Source organism: Homo sapiens, chromosome 3 (assembly GCF_000001405.40).
Source record: "Homo sapiens chromosome 3, GRCh38.p14 Primary Assembly".
Lineage (NCBI taxonomy): Eukaryota > Metazoa > Chordata > Mammalia > Primates > Hominidae > Homo > Homo sapiens.
In genome coordinates, this window is record NC_000003.12 from 146061458 (window position 1) to 146084065 (window position 22608).

Genomic DNA, 22608 nt, shown 5'->3' on the forward strand with positions numbered 1-22608 from the left:
GAAACAGGCTAAAATTATAATTTAAAACCAATAAAATTTAATTTAATAGCATTCTATACTTGGCTCAAGAAAAATGTGAAAGTAAACTGAATCATGGCTTAACAGTGTTGTTATGAGAAGGAAAACAAAATTTTTCCTGACTGCAAATTATCAGCAGTACAATACAGTTGCCCATCCCTCACCAAAAGTAATTTGATACTTAATTTTATTAGCAAAAAATACAAAATATGAATGAGTCTTCTCTTTGCTTCTATACCACTTATACCTAGTACTACCTAGCATATTAAGTTCAGATCTGGCCACCACCCTTCCACAGCTATGTTGATAAACCATTCCAAATGTAGAGGAGAGTGATACTGATACTAGGACTTTGTAAAATCAGCAAGCCAGTCAGCTGGGAGGAGCAGTGAGGGTGGTCAGACAAAGACTAGTGAAGAATCTGGTATTTTTAAATGTGGAAAAGGTAATAAGGTGAGGCATAGAGGGGTGGTAGGTGGGAGGCAACTGTTGTGATTACGGCTGTTAAATATTTTATAAACCCATATTAAAAGGTATTAGGTTTTTCATATAATTTCCAAGTGTACCCACATAAACTTTACAAAGAAGTTACAAAAGACAGTCTTCATTACAGTTATGAGAAAAGCTTTGCTGTTTCTGTGTTAGAATGCAGTAAATTGCCTGTCACCAGATTGTAATGCAGGGTTGATATCTAAATCATGTTTGTAATTTCAGGTACATGGGCTTGTAACAGATACTCATGAACATTCACTAAATGAAGTTTTCAAGTAAACCTGGGTGATCAACAACCAGGAAAGCCTGAAAGATGATTTGTTTAGGGTAGAGGTAGGACAGACTTTGGACTATATAGCTTTTAACACTACTTCCAGTCCTCAGATTCTATTGTTCGATGACACAAATTAAATCACAAAATCCTAAGATAACTCTAGATTTTTATTATTTGTAAATCAACATAAACCTAAATTCATCTTCTCCTAATAAAGTGTATATCTTTTTCTCACACATGTGATTGTTGTTTTAGTCAGGTTAAAATAAGCGGTCTTGCAAGCCTTGAAACTTCAGTGGCTTAACATAGAAAACTTCATTTCTCTCTCGTATAAATCTGTTGTGGTCCTAGCAGCTATTAAGGACAACTTACTTCCAAATAGTGATTCAGAGATCCAGGCATCTCAATACATATGCTTCAAGGTCTCTAAAACGGGCTCATAAATGTGTGGCTTTGCAAGTAATCCACATAACTTCCATTCATTGGCCACTGGCCAAAAGCAGTTCCATAATCCCACCTAACTATTGGTAGGTAGGAAATCTGGGAAGCCCACGTATATTCAGCTAGCTATACATGTAACTGTCAACAAAAGTAAACCCTCAATGAAGATTAAGATTCAGGGCTACAAGCATCTGAGAGAGGACACTAATTAATTATGTAATACAGACAAGTACATGTTCTGTAATTCTTGTTCTGTCTTCATTTTAGAACTTAAAAAAATAATGTAACATTGGATTAAAAATTTGCAAGAAAATCTATTGGAGGATGAAACTGTCTAGAATACAGTGTAGATGATATTCTGTCCAAAAATAATAGATTAGAAAATTTAATGTCAAAACAAATGTCCCAAATTAGATGAAACCCCTCTAATCAATGGCAAGTTAGATGGCAAGTTAGATGTGTTTATGTTCATTCTCCACATACCTACTTGAAATATAATTAATCATAACTCCTGAATCTCATTGCTCCCTCTTAATTCTTATTACTTTATGCACTTAAATTTGCTCTTTGGTACCTTTTAAATATCTCAGATTGGGCAATTCACTTACCAATTTTAAAAATAGCTCCTCTATATTGATTAAAAAATAGGACTTCACAAGAACCTCAAGAGAGGTTCTAAGTTCTATTTTTTCTGACATCATCACAGTTATAACTTTCCTAAATAATTCATATTTTGAACAGAGTCCTACAGGTCCATAATTCTGAAATTATAAAGTTTTCATTCCATTATTTATCACATTTTTAAGACCAGACTGAATAGATGTTAAAATGACATTTGGTCAAAACCAAGAAAGGCCACACCCAATGGGCAATCGAATCTGTAACTGGGGTAACAACACTAGTTCCAGAGTCAGTACATATCAAAGCTACACTTTCCTTGGCATTTGAAAATCCACTGTCTTCACATATTTCTATTTTAGAACTATTTTCTAGTTTAAACTTAGAGGATAAGATATAGAATTTGTAGTCACTATATAAAATAACACTTTTTAAAGCACCTTTTAGAAAACTGCTTTAAGATGTATAAAAGTAAATTCAATTTGAAACACTTATTGAATGTTTAATACAAATACACACAGTAAGCATACACTAAGCAAATTACTCATAAACTGAACCCTCCCTCTCTCAGTCCTTTGGCCCAGAATGCTGAGGATAACAGTGATAGCAGTTTCCTTTTATACTGTCTTAGTGCATCACTGTATCCAACTTGAGGCCACCTACATATTCCTTTATTCAGGGACAAACTGTACAATATTTCACACATCTTTACTTCACACAACTACAGTACACATAGGTTTATTTTTTGGCTACCTCTTAAATTCAAAACACCTATTCCCCCTCAGGGATCATTTTGATTCAAATACAATAAAATTTCAGATATAAAACCAACTTCCAGTTAACACACAAATACCTACTATATGCCAGACTATATGCTAAAACTGAAAAGGTGGAATAAGACCCAGTCCTTGCCCTCAAGGAGCCCACGGCCTTATTGAGGAGAATGAAAGGTAAGTAACAATCCAGTATGCAAAGTGCTCTGAGAAGGAAAGCCTATTAGAGATACATTATAGGCAATTAATCCTGTTTCAGTTATCCATTTTTGTGTAACAAACCATGTGGAAACTTAGTGACTCAATAAATTATCATCTTTTATAGTTCTGTATGGGTTTGCTTAGCTCAGCTGGGTGTTTCTTGGCTGAGGGGTCTCACATGTGGTTGCAGGCAGATGTTGACAGGAGCTATATTCATCTGAACTGGGATTTGTCTGGGACTGATGTCCAAATAATTCACTCATGTGGTAGAAGTTGATGCAGGAGCTTGGTTTCAGCTGTTGGCCACAGTGCTTGCACATGGCCTTGCCATGTGGCATGGGCACAGCATGGTACCTGGATTCTACAGAGAATGCCCTAACAGTAAATGTTCCAAGAGCTCAAAACCACAAAGCTTCTCATAACTCAATGTGGAAATTAGGCAGTCACTTCTACTGCATTCTATTGGTTACAAAGGACCCACCTGGGTTCACAATGGTATGAGTACTGGGAGGCATGGTTCATTGAGGACCATCTTTGTCGACTTGCTATCACAGGCACAAAATCGTTTCAAAAACACATATTTTTAAAATTCCCTCTCCTCTTGGCTCATAGGTCAATGGGAAAGCTGTCTGAGACAATATGAAAATCAATGATGCCACTCTAGCATTAGCTGAAGATCCCCTTGATTTCATCCAGCAGCCAAGACACTAAGTGACCCAAAGGAAGAAAAGGGTGATCAGCGTGGCTGTGTGGTCAGTAAGTAAATGTGCAACAGCTGGAGTAAATTAGAACTAATTTAGTGCATAACTTCAGCAGGAATAAATTTTGTTAATCTTCAAAAAGTCAAAACAAGGATTGTAACTTTCACAGTATCTGAATCACCCAAATTTTACTACAAGACTCTTGTCCTCATTGTTGCACTTACCAGTTCCGTACTGATAATAAAGAAAAATTACTATTGACCTTTTCCTAACAAAGAACAATTTTTAAAATTTTGTTTTTACAATAGGACCCTATGGAGCTGTTGTTTTAATATTATGTAAATTAAGTAATTTTATCTACTCTAAACAAATTGCTTTATCAGTTGTAGTCGAATCTGACTACTCTTATGCTTATTTTATTATTAATCCAAGTAAATATTCTCTATTGAACATAGATTAGCAGTTTACAAATTAGATAAAAACAGAAAACAAATCACTTCAACAGTATTAACTAGAAATATGCTAGCTACTCCTTATTTCAGAATAAGGTGTCACAATTCTTCCTTTTAAAATGTTGTATTGTATCATACTTAAAAATATATAAATAATTCCTGAATAAAAGCATCCAATATTTATCATTTTATTAGTATTAGCCTTTGGGAAAAAATTTGATAGCATGATTTTATAAAGCTCTTGCATTTGCTTTAAATTTAGCTAACTATTTTGACCACAAGGTGGAGCTGTGATGTCACAATTTGGCAAGATTTGTAAGATACAAAAACTATGTAAATACAGACGAAAATAATTTAATAAAATAGGATAATCTCATCTTGCAAATATGCACTATTTAAAATTAATCAATTCTCCAAACATTAATTATCAGAAGAAAACTATCATTTAATTTGTCCAGTTCTCACTTAGCAGTTATTGAGCTTTATCATATATAAATTGTCTTCAGTAGATGCAGAATTATTCTGTCATTTCACATCACGATCCCAGATTTAGTGACTTTAAACCAGTGTTAAAATGTCTTTCAAAATTATTTTGTAATTAATCACAGAATAATTCATTAACCATTACAAAATGTAATGGTTACATTACATCCTTATTTTGTTATCCAATATTGACTAGAGGATCATCCATTATATCTTCTAAAATAATTCTTTCAGTTGATTATTTGTGTTTTGTATTGTTAAACAGGCAGAAACTTCTAATTTTCAAAAGAGAGTATTCAGATTTTGAGTCAACCAAATTTCAGTGAAGATAGACTAGCATGCTAAACTCATCGTCTCTTGAATTATTAAATAAACAAACATTACCACCACTTCAATAATATCTGTCAGGAATGAAACCACTTTTCCAAATGAATGTTTCCTGATCTATTTTAATATATTAAGAATAAAACAAAAATATATCCATACATCTGTGGATGGACATTTAGGCTGTCTCCAAATCTTACCTATTGTGAACAGTGCTGCAACAAACACAGGAGTGCAGATATTGCTTCGGCACACTGATTTCTTTTTCTTCTGGGTATATATCAAGCACTGGAATTGCTGTATCATATGGCAGCTCCATTTTTAGTTTTTTTGAGGAACCTCCAAACTGTACTCCATAGTGGTTGTAATTAATTACATTCTCAACAGCAGTGGTCCCAATGTGGAGGGGTCCCTTTTCTCCACATCCTCTCAAGCATTTGTTATTGCCTGTCTTTTGAATATAAGACATTCTAATTAGGGTGAGATAATATCTCACTGTAGTTTTGATTGGCATTTCTCTGATGAACAGTGATGTTGCGTACATTTTTAAATGCTATTAGAAAGATTTAAGACTTATAAAGTTCACAAATCCCTAGCCTGTTTACTTACATTCCCAGTCTAATTTATTTTATCAAAATAATGTAATTATGCAATACTTCACATTTTTAAAGCATTTCTACATGTACAATTTTCTCTTCTCATTATTTCTTAGTGTACTTCTATTTTAATCCAAAACTCATTGCATTAAAAAGTTTTATACATTTCCCTATTTTTCTTCCCAATGGCTTTTTGTTAATAATTATTCTTAAATAATGCTGTGGCTTGCTATTCTAAAAGACCACAAAACAAACAGTTCTGTTTGATACACTGCTTTCATGAAGTCTTGAAGACTTCAATATTCCGCAACAGTTAACCTCTAGTCTAGTCAGAGGGAGTTATTTACACAGACTCAATTATGACTAAAAATTCTACTGGGCTCTTCTGAAACTTTAAGACATCTGTTGAATAACCATTCCAAATTCCAAATGAATGACAAGTTACCAGCATGTCATGTAAAATGGGCTTTAGGGCATAAAAAGCAAATAAATCAAGACATACGTATGTCAGACAGGAAAACAGAAGTGAGTACATAAAGAGATTCTGTGACGAGGATGGACCACTCAACTCATATGTTCATTGTTTTCCACATTTCTATTCCATAGAAGGATATTTGACCTCTTAGTTAAGTTACCAATACAGATAAATTACTAGTGTTTTCAAAGATGAAGCAGAATGAAGATTAATGCACTGGATGACTACTGAAGTATCTATATTAAGGAAAATATTCATATTGATTCCTATGCGCATTAAGAATTAGAAAAAATTCTACCACGGTGAGCATTTAAAGCACCTTGGTAATGTATGTATACACATACACACACATGCGCACACACACACGGTTACTATTGACATCCATATGCTTCCATTTATTCAAATTAGTTACGTGAATGTCTCCTTTTCCTTCTAGTCTTTTTTTCTTTAAACAATCAATATACAAATATATTTCTATAATATTTCAAAAACACAAGTGTAAAACGTAAAAGGCATAAATCCTATTTACTCCTCCGTGATCTCATACCACTCTCCAGAGTTGTTCCTCTCTAGGAAATTTTCTGTAGGTTTATGCACACATATATAGTATTTTGTTTTTAACATAAATGGTATCATACTCTAAATAGTGTGACTTTATCAGGTTCATCTGTCAGAGATATCTGATTGTTGCAGATACACAATAAGCCCTTGGACTACATGTGCTTAAACTACGCGGGCTCATGTGTATGCCGGTTTTTTCTGTCTCTGCCACCCCTGAGACACCCTTCCTCTTCCCCTTCCTTCTCAGCCTACTCAGCGCGAAGACAACAAGGATGAAAACCTTTATGATGATCCACTTCCACTTAATGAATAGTAAATATATTTTATCTTTCTTTATAATTTTTTAAATAACGTTTTCTCTAGCTTATTGTAACAATACAGTGTATAATGCATATAACATATAAAATAAATGTTCATCAGCTGTTTATGTTATCAGTGAGGCTTCCAGTCAACAGTAGGTTATTAGTTGATAAGTGTTGAGGGAGTCAAAAGGTACATGTGGATTTTCGACTGCATGGGGATCAGTGCCTCTAACGCCCATATTATTCAGGGGATAATTGTTTATATATATGGGTGTGTGTGTGTATTTTTTTTAAAAAGCCTTTATTATATTGCATAAAATGAATGAATCAAACAATAGATGTACTTTCTGTATCTTCTGCTCTGTGTGTTTCAAGCTGTATTTTTCTCCATCCTTCCAATTCTACTCGTTTTCCGTTTTTCAAATTTTTTAATCTACTTATGGGAATTTTTCTAATTTTCTCTCAGTAATTATGAATCATCTTTTTAAAGCTACATTTTATATTATTTCATGGAATGTAGGATAAGAGGAAAGACAAAAAAACTGTGCTCAATAGACTACCTGGATCCCATTTCTGAAAACATGGCATGAGACTGAAATAGTTATGCTAAGTAACCACCCATGGATACCAAAATGGAAAATAACTAGTACCTGGGAGATGTCTTTGAACTGTACCACAAGAGATATTAAGCTGGCTTGCACTGGTAGGAACGAACCGATCTGCTTTTATAACCAGAGTCTGTTCCGATGAGTTGGCATCTACATCATACCAGGTGTTACATATTTTGAAAACCATTCCTGATGTACAGTAACATAATTCACAAATCATTACTAAAATGTCTCCTTATCCTAGTTGATGGATAGTAGAAATTTTCTTTGGGTATTAAGTGTCGCCAAAGAAGAGAACAGGAGTAGAACCAACTTCCTTATCTTTTTAAGTCCATCTCACAGTGACTATAATGTCTTCTTCATCAACATATCCTTGGTGCCTGGAACAGTGCCTGACCCATAATAGAGACCCAGAAAATATTAATAAACAAATAAACCTATATTGAATAACATTTGGCTTCTATTTTCTCACTTGGAAAACGAGTTAGATCAAATCCCTAGTCATCCTAAAATTGAAGATTTTATAATTTCATTTATAATTCAATAGTTTCGTATATCATTAAATCTACTAAGCAAAATGAAAAATCAAAGGCTTCATTCTTTCAGACAATTCCATCATGTATTCACGTTGGAAGATAAACACCAATAATAGAACAACAAAACTTTCTAAAATTATTTTATTTTTTATAATTTTCTAACACATGGTGTTAGAAAATGAATTTTGGCACCGTGATTAAGAATTTCTTTTCAAGTTTAACCTTTACATTAAAAACAGTAGCTACAATAAGGATATTTCAACCTTACTTAGAGAAGTGATAAAACATCAAGTCAACAAGTATTTTTGTTGGAGAATTTTTTTATAAGCGGGATAGAGGGAAGTTAACATAGACACTCAGAAGAATAAAATGGAAATTATGCCAGGAAGATAAAAAAGCAAATAACCCTCCCCCCAAAAAAAGAATAAGGAGCGAGACAAAGGGCAAAACGGAAGAAGCAAGGCTCAACAACTTTGTTTTCCTGATATAAAATTCAAGTACTTAAAAAGTTTTTTAAAAAATAATTAAATGCACTACTCATCTCAATGAAATTTTTCGTTTTCCTATTTTCTAGAACTTTCTAAAAAAGGAAACAAAGCAAAAACAACAACAAAAAAAACCTGTTTGACTTAAGGACACTTGCTGATCTTGACACTTGATAATACTTTAAGAAATGGAAAGGTTTTCCTAAATCTAATACCTGCTTAATATAATCCACTTTGGAAGATTCATCTGAAAGAAACATAGGGTTTGATTTTTAATACTAATATAAAATAATCTGCCTTCCAATCAAAACAAAAATGTTTTCAACTGTATACGCTCCTCGGTTGTGTTTTGTACCATTTTCTTGAGGAAAACGTTGTGTAATTCTTTGTGTGTTCCCTTAGTAACTACTGTAAATAAGACCTGCATAGGTGTTCAGAAAAATACTTAGTTGCATACAAATCCAGTTAGAATCTGATTTTCAAGGTTTTACAACATGGTAATTTTCATTTATATCCATTTTGTCTACATTTCCTCTATATTTTGATAAATAAAAATCTTCCCATGCTTTTTTTAAATAAGAAAATATTATTAGTCTTGTTATTTGTACCTAAATATTTTATCAATTTGAAACACAAATTCATAAATTGTCATTATTCTCAGAGGCAACAAAGCATAGAAATAAATATTTAAGTTTTTTCTTTCTTTTCTTCTTCAATCTGTGTTTTAAGGCTCAGAGCAGACATTAAGAAATATCAAACAATTTTTTATAAAAAGTTTTTCAAATGTTTGGCCCAAAGTGAAGTTGTTCTGTTGATGTTATTTAAATATTCCTCTCATCTTCTCAGCCACAACTTCAAAGACGTGTTCATGCCAGTCATTCATCCAAAATAAATTTCAATTCAATGAAAAGTAAATAACTTAGGGATCTATAAATGACACTGCAATGTATCTTGTTCCATTTTTAACAGGAAGTCCTTCATGCAAATGTGTGAGTCTCCCAGGATGCATGAAGCTCCAGCCTTTTCGTGGTGACTCAATAGAGCAATTGTACCTTAGAAATTTGCAACCACCTCCCTAAAAAAGTTAAAATGAAGAAATACATCAGATTATATTTAACCAGTGGCAAAATTCAAATTATGTCATTTGAGCAAAATTTAAAAAAGAAACTAAGGCCTAAGGCAAAGTCCTTTTCATAATGATATATTTCTTTTGAAAAATCTAAAAACACAAGAGTCATAATTACCTGAAAGTCTTCTCCCACGTTATTAAGTGCAATGTTTATGGTAAATGTAGAAGCATCATGATGAGGACGAAGAGAACGCTGTCGTTCAGGGGAGTATTTTACTACAAAATTCAGTAGTGCAAATCCCTGAAAAAGCAAAGTAAGCCAGTGGATTTGCTTATTAATAAAAACATTAAAAAGAACACCTGTGTAAAAATGGGTAAGAAATAGGCTGGAGGGGTGAGAGGATAACTACCTTCGTATAATAGCCTGCAAAGACCTTCAGTGTAACTGGTGCAATGAACTCCCGGATAAAATGAAGCCATACATTCTCCAGATCAACTTGCTTCATGTGGATATCATCAGTTGGGACATTTTCATAACCACCAGATATACGGCTATCCTAGAAACAACATTAATGACATAATAAGCTGTACTCCACGTGCAATTCCCATTTATATTATAGTATTTTTTTTCAACCACAGATCATAATAGACAATAAAAATAACAGTTGTTCCAATGTGGTATATCATCTGCTTTAACTGTAAAATTATCAAAATAACTTAGGTAACAGCTTTGTCAATGATACAATGACGAAACAAAGTAATGTAAGGTCAGTAGACTCCTTTCCTACTTCTTAAATGTATATGTGAAGTTTAGCTATAAAGTAAATAAAATTGACTTCCTAAGCCCTCACATCCTTTCTTAAAAATGAGTCTTTTTTTACAGTGACCCTTTAGGCAGTCTCAGCTGCTTGATGAGCATACACTTAGCATATCTGCTGTCTGTATTACCAAACACTAAAAACAAGCTTTCCCCGCCCTTCCTCACTTCTATTTGTAACACTCAAAAGTTTTTGAATGATTGCTTTTCATTATTTCATCACCCACTAACTTAAGTTCTTCCTTATACTTTAAGCTTCCCTCTCCCTTATCAGCTCATTACCTGGGGGACATAACCGTGCAGAGGCAGTAATATTCCAGAGTATTCTGCTAAAATGGCATGTCTGTTCTCAGAGGGAAAGAAACACATCTAACCACTGGCAGTAGTATTTCCTGCCAAGTCTTTGACACTGAATGCAAATGCAAAACTGAATTACACCTAAGGCACTCAGATCCCTCCTTCCTATCTTTACACACAAAAACAGTTTTCAGAGCCAGATAACATTTGCCTTAGAATTTTCACCACAGCTCACTGTGAAAACGCAAGGAATAAAAAGTGGCCTTGGAAAAGAGTGACATCACTCTGTAAAGACATGTGTTACCTAACAAACTCTGGCCTGAGGACATCGACCCTTAGGGAACATCCAGTGTAATTACATGCATAAATGAGAAACCCGCCCAAACTAATGAAATTACTTAAGTGTTAAAAAAATTGGTTGGTGGGAGAAGTAGACTGAAATCAGAGCCTTGGCTAGCCAATTTATCTAAGTCTAGAACTCAGAGACATATGAGAAAAAGTATATAACCCCTCCGAATTCTCTGAGTATCTACTTAACCCCCACATACATTTTAGTTCTTAGTGTGAAATTACAACTTACATGATGTTTTCCCCCAGACCATTTGCCGTAATGTTCCATTTCTTCTACCAATTCATCACAGGCTTTTTCAGAAAATATGGGGAACCAAAAGACATCTGGACAGGGCTATAAAATATGCATCATCGTTAGAAGACATAATAACTTCTGTGTCTTAATAGTCTAAAATAGTTATTTTAATATGTGTAAAATAAAAAATCCTGTATGACTAGGAAACATAGTTTTCTGTCATGGTTTATTGACAGTATTTTTTTTCTCATGGTACATAAATAATGGTGCACCTCAGAATTGATGACATCTTACATTCTCAAAAATTAGGTATTAACAATAGTTTTGAACACTAAGCTAAAAGAGAATTCATGTTTCAAAGATGTCTCTGAGAAAAGACTCTTCCAGAAAGACAGCCCAGTTTCTTCCAAAGATAAGCTTTCACTGCAAGAGTTCTACATCAGAGATCTGTCAACAGTTTCTATTTTTAGTGGTTTCAGAAAGCTATGACACATAGGAGCATGCTTTTTAAAAAGGCATGCTTTTAAAATGTTAATTTCTATGTTCTACATTTTACAACTGTATGTTCCTTAATGCTATTTAATCAGTAATTGAATCAAATAAATTTTACCTAAAAGGTAGTTTCTCCACTTTCACATCTTCTGTGAAAGTAGTATTAATAATATTTCTTCTGGAAAATAACAGCAAAATTTTCTATACTTTGTAATCATTAATACAAACCTGTTCAACTATATTTTCAGTGAAAATCTTTGAATAATCACGGTTTATATACTTTTCCTTCCAGTCCTATAAAAAGAAGTACATATTAAAACAAATATCTTTATAAATACTTCACTGAAAAGTATAAAGCATATGCATTTTAGAAATTATTCAACTTATAAATGATTATGTATAGTGGACAAAATAGTAATTTTCAGAAATCACAGTATATAGCCTAATCTTTGCCTGGTTCTGAATATGCTTATGTCATTCTATGAAATACAAAATTTTTATTTATGAAATATTGTACCTCAGGATTTTAAAACTTAAGTAATCTTACAGTGAATAGATTTACACATTTTACAGATGCTCCTTGACTCACGATGGGGTTATGTCCCAATAAACCCGTGGGAGGTTAAAAACACACAGTACCCCGATAAATCCAACATAAAGCTGAAAATTCCTAAGTAAAGCCACCGTAAGTTGGGGACCATCAGTATTTTAATATATACACAGAGTAGGTAAATAAAGGTGTGCTTAAAGGTAAAAGACAAGGAGCAAAATTCTACCAACAAGTATTTGTAAAAATGAATTAGTGAACTAATTAACTAGGGTCTGTCTTATATGTCTATAGTAAATTACTCTAAATTTGATTTTTTAAATGAGTTTTTAAAATTTCTGCCTTCACTTCAGTTATTAATATTTATCAAGGAATAATCATGAGTTTACTAGCACTTGCACTTCTTTCAGTTACTAAAATTAAGGGTTAGGGCTCTATATTAAAAAATGGTTTCTCTTTATTCTAATCCATGAATTTGATTCTTTTTGACCAATCTCTGGCATAAAATCCACACACAAAGATATCTCAACTTTTTTCAACAAAAGCTAAAGAATTATTTTATTGGGACAAGTTCTTTATTCAAATATGGATATTTACTAAAATATTATTAATACATGGAGTAATATAAATATCCAAAAAGATATCTTCTGAAATTTAGAATATTTCTAGAAATTATTAATTTTCTCTTTACAAAGTGCAAATACAGAGAGCCAGCAGGGAGGAAGTGAGACACAGACTCAAAATAATTCCAATCAAAAGATGTTTTAAAAGATATTTGCCTTAAATACATCTTTTGAGGCTAGATTTTAGGGGCTGAATATTTATACCATAATTTATGTCACTGGTTTTGCATATCTGTTTATATGTAACTCAAACATTTTTTATGTGGAGGAAACAAAGGTATCTTCAAAATTTTAATAAATTTCATGTTTATATAGTATATATGGATCAGATTTCTATATTATCTCATTATTCCCTCTAATATTAATTAGCTTTCTGATTCTAAAATGTGGCAAGAAATTGAATAATCATCCATAAGATTTAAGAACTTTTACCTATAGCATTTTTCCTGTGCATCAATACTGATTTTTCTTCAAGTTAAAGTAAAAAAAAAAATCCCCTAAGATTTTATTTTAGGGCATTAGTATTCACATTTCATTTTAGATCACCTTTCAAATCATTGAGCAAACTGTGACTTTATTAATTTCTTAGAAATTCTGATAATGGGATAATCAATAAGCATTTTGCTATGGGGTATCCCTCACTAGGCATATTAATCAGGCTGCTTTAACAAAGAAAGCCATGGAAAGAAAACTTGTTCCTACTCAGTTCTGATATTTTCATTGCTTACTTTCCAAAGACTTGAATTCTTACACAAATATCTACAATTCAGGATATAATTCAGGATATCTGACCAGGAACCTAATGTCACCCAAGAAATCAAATAATTCTATCCCTCAAGACACCAAGAGATTCAATGGTGAAGTGAAATATGGAATTCTACCCTCACGACTAGAAAACACCTCTTTTCAGCTTTATTTCTGTGAAAGAGGAAGGTATGTGGTTAAAATGGAACAAAAGTACTTTTAAAATAACAAAATGTCAAAAGATAATATTTTCCTATTCAGAATATTCAGAGACTACTACATTTACTATCCCCATATCTCAACTATTCCTACAAAATAAAGGACAATTCTCATCAGGTGGATTGAGTCTGCAATTTAAAACTTTTACTATTGGCAAGGGGAAAATCATTACAGCAGTGTTACAGGTTTGATTGTTGAAGACAGCATTTTCCCTTGAATAAGTGTGCCACTTGCCTAACAAAAAGATGTCCCTGTAAAACACAAAAGGAGCTAATTACTGTACCACTCAAATCTGTAAAAAAAAAAAAAAAAAAAAGAAGAAGAAAACAGATTTTAAAAGGAAATTGTTTCTTCAAGTTAAGACTCCATATGCTGAATCAATCAGCTTTCTCTGCAATTCTCTCTGGCTATCTTTGATGTACATTCACAAAATTGTCAAAAAATAATTTTAAAAAATGTATTTTCCTAAACAAAACTTTTTGAATTTTCTTCTAAAAAATCAAACTATTATAATATGTGAACTATTTGTAAACATGTTTCTAAAATTGTGATTAAAACTGGATGGTGCTTTTGAATACACAAAACAAAAATAATAGAATATTGAAAGAGAACAAATTGATAATTCCCTTCCCCAAAGCTAATAAGTGTCTTAATAAAAACAAGTTATTGGTCAAGTTTAGATCTACTCTATAGATCATGAAATACAATTAATTATGTCGTTTTAATTTTTTTCTTTTTATTTACTTTTTAAAAACAATTTCAGCTTTTGGATTCAGGGAGTATATGTGCAGGTTTGTTACAAGTGTATAATGCATGATGCTAAGGTTTAGGGTATGACTGATCCCATCACCAAGGTAGTGAGCACAGTACCCATTAGTTGGTTTTTCAACCCTTGTCCCCCTCCCTACTCCCTCACTCCTCTAGTGATCCCCAGGGTCTACTGTTCCTATATTTATGTTCACAAGTACCCAATGTTTAGCTCCCACTCATAAGTGAGAACATGCAGTATTTGGTTTTCTGTGCCATTAATTCACTTAGGGTAATGGCCTCCAGTTCTCTCCATGTTGCTGAAAATGACATAATATTGTTCTTTTTTATGGCTGTATAGTATTCTATGGTGTGTATGTAACACATTTTCTTTATCCAATCCACCATTAATGAACACCTAGTTTAAGTCCATGTCTTTGCTACTGTGAATAGTGCTGCAACGAACAGATACAGGTTCATGTGTGTTTTTGGTCAAATGACTTACTTTCTTTTGGCTATATACCCAGTAATGGAATTGCTGGGTCAAATGGTAGCTCTGTTTTAAGATCTTTGAGAAATCTTCAAACTGCTTTCCAAATTCATTCCGACCAACAACGTACAAGCATTCCCTTTTCTCCGTAGCCTCACCCATATCTGTTGTTTTTGACTTTTTAATAATAGCCATTCTGACTGGTGTGAGACAGTATCTCATTGTGGTTTTGATGTGCATTTCACCTTATGTCATTTTAAAAAGCCTCTAACCACATTTCATATTATTAACCAACTGATTTATAACCACTTACAGTTATAGAAAAATAATAAAGTTGAGTATGAAATACATACCACAGGATTTTCAAAAATCTGCCAGAGGTCATTGTTATAATGGGAAGTATTGTAATTAGCAGTGGATAATAGCCTTCCAAATTCATGTCTATTAGAAATGTACATAAATACACCCTATATGCCAGAAAATAACAGTATTAATCTTAGAGGTAGGTACAAAAGTAAATTTAATCATAGGAAAAATATATAGAAGATATTAATTTCTATCTTTATATTTCATTTATGAACATGCATTTTTAGTATTCATATAAAATGTGCATAGTTTAAAATAAAAAACTCAAATTTTGATTATGAATTCAGACACCACACAAAACTAGTAGATAGCACTGACACTCAACTGAAAAAAAGAAGAATGGACTGTTTTTGTCCCTTTCTCATTGATCCTAGATGTAGACATCGGGGAAAAAATTCCTGTTTGAAAGCAGAAATATTTTTGAGACACAGTGCAATGAATTATACCTCTTTTGGCTTCTTTCTCTTTCAAAGAAAGCATCACATTTTTAATCAAGAATTCACTGCCAGTTATATTTCACCAGTCTGTTTCATTCCTTTCTTTTTCTAATGTTTAAAGGCTAACACGCAAATGAGTCATACATTATAAAGGCAGATAAAGAAAACCAGTCTCATATTCTTGCCCCAAACCAGACAAATGTGGCAAACACCACTAGGTAATGTGTTTCTTTTTGGACCTGTTTTAATAGTAAAAGAGTTAGTGATTAATAACTCAATAAGGTGCACCTAAACCTTACTGTAATCAAATTCTATTTTATACCTACTTCTACCCTCTTCTCTCCCTTTAAAAAGAAATAAAAACCTAAAAAAAGAATGAAAGGGACTTAGGTTTAACTTTGTCACCTGTCAGCCATAAAATATAAATCAGCTCAAAGAACCAAGAGTTGACTATCACACAAGACCCATGCCCAAGTCACACAAAACACGCAAACACACAGATGACTGATGAAAATCAACATTTTACCAAGCTAAATGCAAATAAGGCCCTTAAAGAAACTTTACTACTAGGCAATATACTATATCAAATATTAAATAAACAAAAATAAATAAAATAAGTAAAAATAACACCTTTGGGGGGCTGAGCATTTGGAATGTTTCCGGAGTAGGGGAGTCTTTTTCCCTTTGTAAAGTCTAAAATGAAGAGAAGCATTGGGTAAGTTGACCTGTACACCCGCTCTCTCAGGTATTCTTTGGTAAATAAAAATAATAGCAGCTGTTGATCAAAAGCTAACATTCTGAAATGTCCTTCATAGACAACATGCAGAACAAGCAAAGCTTATAGCACACACAAAGAAACATCTCCAGCTCTTTCAGCCCTTCTTTTCTTTTCTTTTTGGGAGGTGTGGTGGGGTCAAACATAAGTCTAAGCTCATTCCTTAGCAGAACTTTCATTAGACACATAAGACAACGGAAAAAATGAGTAAGAGAGGCCATTCCATGATGCGCTGTTGAGTCAAATTAGCCAAACATGAGCACAAAATACTATCACAAGTACTGAGGATATTCAATAATAATGCACACAGGTTTGTAGAGAAAACAAACATATTCAAACAATACATGCTTTGTTAAACTAAGAAAAAAATACTTGCCAACTTTTCTGACTTTTCATCAAATCACAATTGCTTATATAAATTTGGAAATCGGAAATAAAATAGCCCCATCATTTCTAAAACCAAAAATCATATCAATATATTCTAAGCCATGTTTATGCATTTTGAAAAATTATTTTCTAGTCATTTTAAGTTTTATAATAAAAGTACATTTGTAGTGCAGCAAGGTATCATTAGTATTTTATTTAGAGTAAATACACTATGTATCTCAACACTTCTACTAGTTTGGTGGTAATAATCCTGCTTTCTAAGAATGTGAAGTTAATAATAATTTTAAAATTTTACCTAGTTAGAGAAAATGTGGACATTAATTTTAGAACAAAAATATTCTTAAATCTGGAAATATTGTTTCATCGAAGCTTATCTAATTAATTTTAATTAGGTCAAGTTTTCACTATAGAATTTCAAATTAAAGATGTATTCTTAAAAGAGCAAAGCTGATTTGTAACAAATACATCTTTATTACTGAAATCCAACTCGGTTGCCTATGAATTAGCCCGAGCACAAAAACTAACATTTTTCATACCATTTCTATAAGTAAATGTTAAATTATCTCCAAAATTACTCCCAAATTTTTTAACACAGAACCAAAAAAATTGGCTAGTACTTACAAATTAGCAAGACAAAGGGCATCAAAACACAGTGACACACCAACTGGTAAAGCAAGCCATCTTATAAGAACATTCAAGCAAGCCATCACTGCATATCTTACCATTTCTCTAGCATTTCGGCAAAGAGCCATATCAGGATCCAGTTTATCACGAACAAAATAGTTCCTTTCATTCATCTCTGATCGGAGTGTCTTTCCTTTAATTAAGTACACATTAGCCATATATGGGACATTCCATACTCCTCTGAAAGTAAAGAGAAGACATTCTTATATACCACAAATACAAACAATTTTAAGTTTCATTTTTACCTTTTTAAAATAAATGCTTTGTGTTTAGATTTTGTATACATAAATTATTGAATCAACATACAAATATATTCAATGATATATATATAAGATTACATTGTATACACTATATTTAATGAGATTTAGGAGATAAACCACTGCCCCTTTGGATACATTTCAATTTTGGGTTGGTATCTGTTTGGCATTTGTATTATAGCTATCATATCTCAATCAGTTGTTACAATTAGACTATTATAATCTATTGTATAGACGGTGTTTCTATTTAAAATTAAAGAATTTGATAGCATGAATCATAACATACAACCAGTGGTGCACTAGACCCAGCTCATACTGGCTCCCCAAAGTTAACTTTTTCTGCCAAGTCCATGTTCAGTAATTTCACATTGGAAACTTGAAATCAGCCATGGTAGAAGTATTTACACCAAACAAATGGGCAAGCACTTTAAATCAGGGAATCCTCCACCTCCAAAAGCCAGTTGTTACACATTTACCAAAATACCACTGAATATAGCCTAAAATTCTCCAAAATTATATTCTCTTACCATTCATTAAGCCATCTTAAATATTTTATAGAAAAAGGAAAACATGAAGAAATACAGCTGGGAGCACATGAACGTTGCATCCTTTCCCACATCTATATTCTCACTCTGAACATGACTGATTTCATAAAAACTGCAAAACAAGTTTTGCCCCTAAGACTGTGCGCCTTTCTTTTAGAGAACATCAAGGCAAGATCTTGACCAAGAAATGCAGTTAGATATTAACGGAAATATGATATTATGTCTTACTAGACTAGCCTCAAAGAAAAATGCCTTAAGGAGTACAGCAGTCCCCGCCTTATGTGAGGGTGATACATTCCATGACCCCAGTGGATGCTTGAAAGCAGATAGTAACAAACGCTACACATACACTACGTTTTTTCCTACACATATATACTTATAATAAAGTTTAATTTATACATAAAGTACAGTAAGACTAACAACAATAATAGAACAACTATAACAATATGCTGTAATAAAAGTTACATGAATGTTTACACTTTCTCTATCTCAACATATCTTCGTATTTTCAATCCACAGTAGACTTGAAACCATGGAAAGCAAAACCATAGATAAAGGGGAATTACTGTATACAACGTGTCAGCTAAATTCAGAAATTAATCTCTGGGGAATTATTCAGTGTTTCAACTTATACACACACACATACACACACACACACAGTTGCTCCTTCGTGTAGCTTTTGGACATGAAGTGTATTCCAGATCAAAAGCTTCTGCCATATTTTTTTCCTTATACTTTAGACAAGAATGACAGGAGGTTGGACAGAAAATCACCAATGCCTAAAGCAACTTGAAACAAATTTTCCATTCTACTTTCACAAACCCTCATTTGTGATGTGCCCAAAGATACAATCAGGTATATTGTCTATACAACTCACCCAGAGTCAATACAACTGCACAGAAACAACAGAATACGATCTTAATAGTCTTTTCTCCTCCACTGTGCATTTTAATTGCAGCTAACAAAAACCTTTATTGTATTTACATCATTCAGATTGAAGCTTTCCACACCAATTACTATTTCCACAAGCAACACATCTTTTTACCACTCAACTGTTTGAACAGAAACGTGTGCCTTTTTTTTTCTAAATGTAAGGGCACATCCTTTTAGTCCTGAGAGTATACTGCCCCTTTTTAATCAGGCTGACATGTTTGAGAACTAAGGCAAAGCATGTAATGTCTTAGTCACTCTGGTCCATCATATGTATGAAAAAAAGAATGACATTCTTCTCCAATATTACCTTAGCAAAACTATTTCAATTGTGATTATTTTTAGTAATCAACCATTGTCTCTGAAATAAATATAAATCATGCACACACTTTTCAGCAAATATATTCTTTTCAATCTCTAGAAGTGAAAATCTAATATTGGTAAAAAAAACTTGTATTTAAAGCAGAATAATAGCTATTTCACACAAAAAAACTCATGCAATCAGGAATACTGGAATGTTCTGGCTGTTAGTGTTACTGTTGGCTTAATTATAAATTTTAAAACCTATCAAAACAACCCTTAATTATAACCATTAAAAAGTTAGTAAACTAAATCCCCTTTCCAAGCTTTTAAATAAAGAGTATTACTCTTCTATCAACCATAATGTGAGTATGGTAAACATATATTATCTCTTAGTATTCCCCACAGCAATGAGCTTGTTCCTTTGAAGATTTGGGACTTTAAAAACATTTTTTTAAGATATTAGTTTTATACTAGTATTTCAGGATTCCAAGTGGTCTTGGGTTCTCAAATTCCCATTAACTATAAAGAAAAGAGATGAATGCAAAAAAAATTTCAAGTAATACTAACAAGACTACATCTTTAGATTATGGTATTTCACATTAAAATATTAAACCAAGTAACTTACACTCTATTCCCTTGAACAATATCCACATAATCTTCAGATCGTGCATAGTATCCATCAGGACTCAATGCTCCCCAGAAATTGGACCACAGCTTTCCATGACGAGTTACAAGAGGAGCAATGATCTTTCTAAAGACAGAGAGAGTGTGTGTGAGAGAGAGAAACCTATATAATTATTTATTTTTAAATTACCACAGAATTATGTATTTTGGGCTTAGTATGACATATAACACAAGAAAGCTCATTCAACAAACCTGTAGTTAATAAAAATAAAATAAGGATCTTCTTTCCCAACATCTTTTCTTAAGTAAGTATATTGCTAATTTTCAATCATATTTCTTAAAAAGAGTAACAAAGAAGGAAAAAGTAATTGAAAATGCTAATGAATACATAAAAATGACTTTTAAAAATGCCTTGCTTACATCCAACAGAGGGAAACTACTTTAGTTATTTAATTATATTTAAGTTTAACTAAAGTATTTCGGAACCTATATTAAATGAAACCAAATATTTTCATTGTCACTGGGTGAACAACAGCCCCTGGTGCATTTAAGATATTCAATGAATATTTGTTGAATTTGTAAAAAATGAATGAAGATGAACTGAGATGTTTGTAAACAGGCAAAGCTTTCCTGTAATTAAGTCTCAAATTACTTAAGTATGTTTCCAGTTTTCCATGACTTTAAAAAATGACTTGTGATTACAGTAAGCTAGTCCTGGCAACACTGAACTTTCCTTTAACTATTTTAGAAAGCAAATTTATGGAACAACTATTCTTTATATGAAAAAAGAAAACCTATTTCACCTCTATCTTGTGAAGACCAGCCGGGCCCTTTCTATTACATGCACAAAAGTGAAATAAATAAACACACATCGGGCCCGGCGCAGTGGCTCATGCCTGTAATCCCAGCACTTTGGGAAGCCGAGGCGGGCGGATCACAAGGTCAGGAGTTTGAGACCAGCCTGACCAACATGGTGAAATCCCATCTCTACTAATAATACCAAAAAAAGTTAGCCAGGCATGGTGGCACGCACCTATAATCCCAGCTAATCAAGAGGCTGACACAGGAGAATCGCTTGAACCCGGGAGGCGGAGGTTGCAGTGAGCCAAGATCATGCCACTGCACTCCAGCCTGGGCGACAGAGCAAGACTCCATCTCAAAAAAATAAATAAATAAAAATAAATACACATCATGCAAAATAATAAATTTTGGTTTATTCTTCCGAATTCCTACTAAACTATTAATCAGAAACACATGTTTTGTTTTGTTTTGAATACCTACAATACTGGAAATAATAACATGAATTAGAATCTACATACATTAATTTGGGAAATAATTCAATATGAATATCAAACATTTAATTTAAAAAGAACTTGTAATTTATAATCCCAGCTGCCTCCTGAAAAGGTTTAAACCAACAAATTTGGGAAACCAAAATTCATCTGCTGTATACCTCAATGTTTTTGTGAATAAAAATGTAAGGATGGCAGCTGAGGAATGATTCATATTATTATACAATTTAAGGAGTAAAATTTAGAGCAAGGGAGCAAATAGAGATAGGGAGAGAAGAGGAAAAAAGAGAGCTGATGAGAAGGTAGAAAGCCACATGCCCAAGATGTGTCAAATCTCTTTCTCTACTCTTCAGTCCAATCTACTAAATCTTGCAACATTCCTGGCATATGTCAATAGACTATAGAAACCACATGTCTAGATACAGAAGCAAGAACCATAGGTATTACATAAACCTAAACCTTTGATTAACTAACAGAATTCCATGGAGACACAGCCTGAGTTTTACTCTTTAAGGGGCAAGGGCCCCAGATGGCAGGTAAGTCTTTTTCTTTTTTTTTTTTTTTTTTTTTTGAGACGGAGTCTCGCTGTGTCGCCCAGGCTAGAGTGCAGTGGCGCAATCTTGGCTCACTGCCAGCTCCACCTCCTGGGTTCACACCATTCTCCTGCCTCAGCTTCCCGAGTAGCTGGGACTACAGGTGCCCGCTACCACGCCCGGCTAATTTTTTGTATTTTTAGTAGAGATGGCGTTTCACTGTGTTAGCCAGGATGATCTCGATCTCCTGACCTCGTGATCCACCCACCTTGGCCTCCCAAAGTGCTGGGATTACAGGCGTGAGCCACCACACCCGGCCGGGAATTTTTTTTCTTTTAGAAGATTTAAAATGTTTAATATTAAGAGGGATATATGTCAAATACATAGTGTAAATTCATTAAATAGTTCACTAAGAGAATAATTAATAAATATATAAATTATAGTCATAAAATGAAAATATCTAATTATTAAAAAGCATATGGGCATTACACACTATAGCATTTC

The 22608-nt window shown here is 33.1% G+C and overlaps 1 protein-coding gene and 1 long non-coding RNA gene across 6 annotated transcripts in view; both read right to left on the minus strand.

The window, feature by feature from the left end:
- Positions 1-4886: 4886 nt before the first annotated feature.
- LNCSRLR (lncRNA sorafenib resistance in renal cell carcinoma associated) lies at positions 4887-7728 on the minus strand. Its single transcript, NR_146297.1, has 2 exons — positions 7362-7728; positions 4887-5228 (listed from the first exon to the last, which is right to left on the minus strand). It is a non-coding gene; the product is annotated as a lncRNA sorafenib resistance in renal cell carcinoma associated (long non-coding RNA).
- PLOD2 (procollagen-lysine,2-oxoglutarate 5-dioxygenase 2) overlaps positions 7983-22608 on the minus strand; it is a 91745-nt gene continuing 77119 nt past the window's right edge. For 3 of the 5 annotated variants that reach the window (NM_182943.3, XM_047448319.1, XM_017006625.3), the window contains 9 exons: positions 20281-20406; positions 17659-17800; positions 16405-16467; positions 15325-15438; positions 11830-11895; positions 11104-11208; positions 9820-9966; positions 9585-9710; positions 7983-9415 (listed from right to left, as the gene is read on the minus strand). In NM_182943.3, the coding sequence (NP_891988.1) occupies positions 9260-9415; positions 9585-9710; positions 9820-9966; positions 11104-11208; positions 11830-11895; positions 15325-15438; positions 16405-16467; positions 17659-17800; positions 20281-20406 (1045 nt within the window). In that variant the 3' untranslated portion in view covers positions 7983-9259. Of the gene's footprint in view, positions 9416-9584; positions 9711-9819; positions 9967-11103; positions 11209-11829; positions 11896-15324; positions 15439-15662; positions 15736-16404; positions 16468-17658; positions 17801-20280; positions 20407-22608 lie in introns of those variants that run through there. The other 2 variants (NM_000935.3, XM_047448320.1) reach the window with 2 other exon arrangements.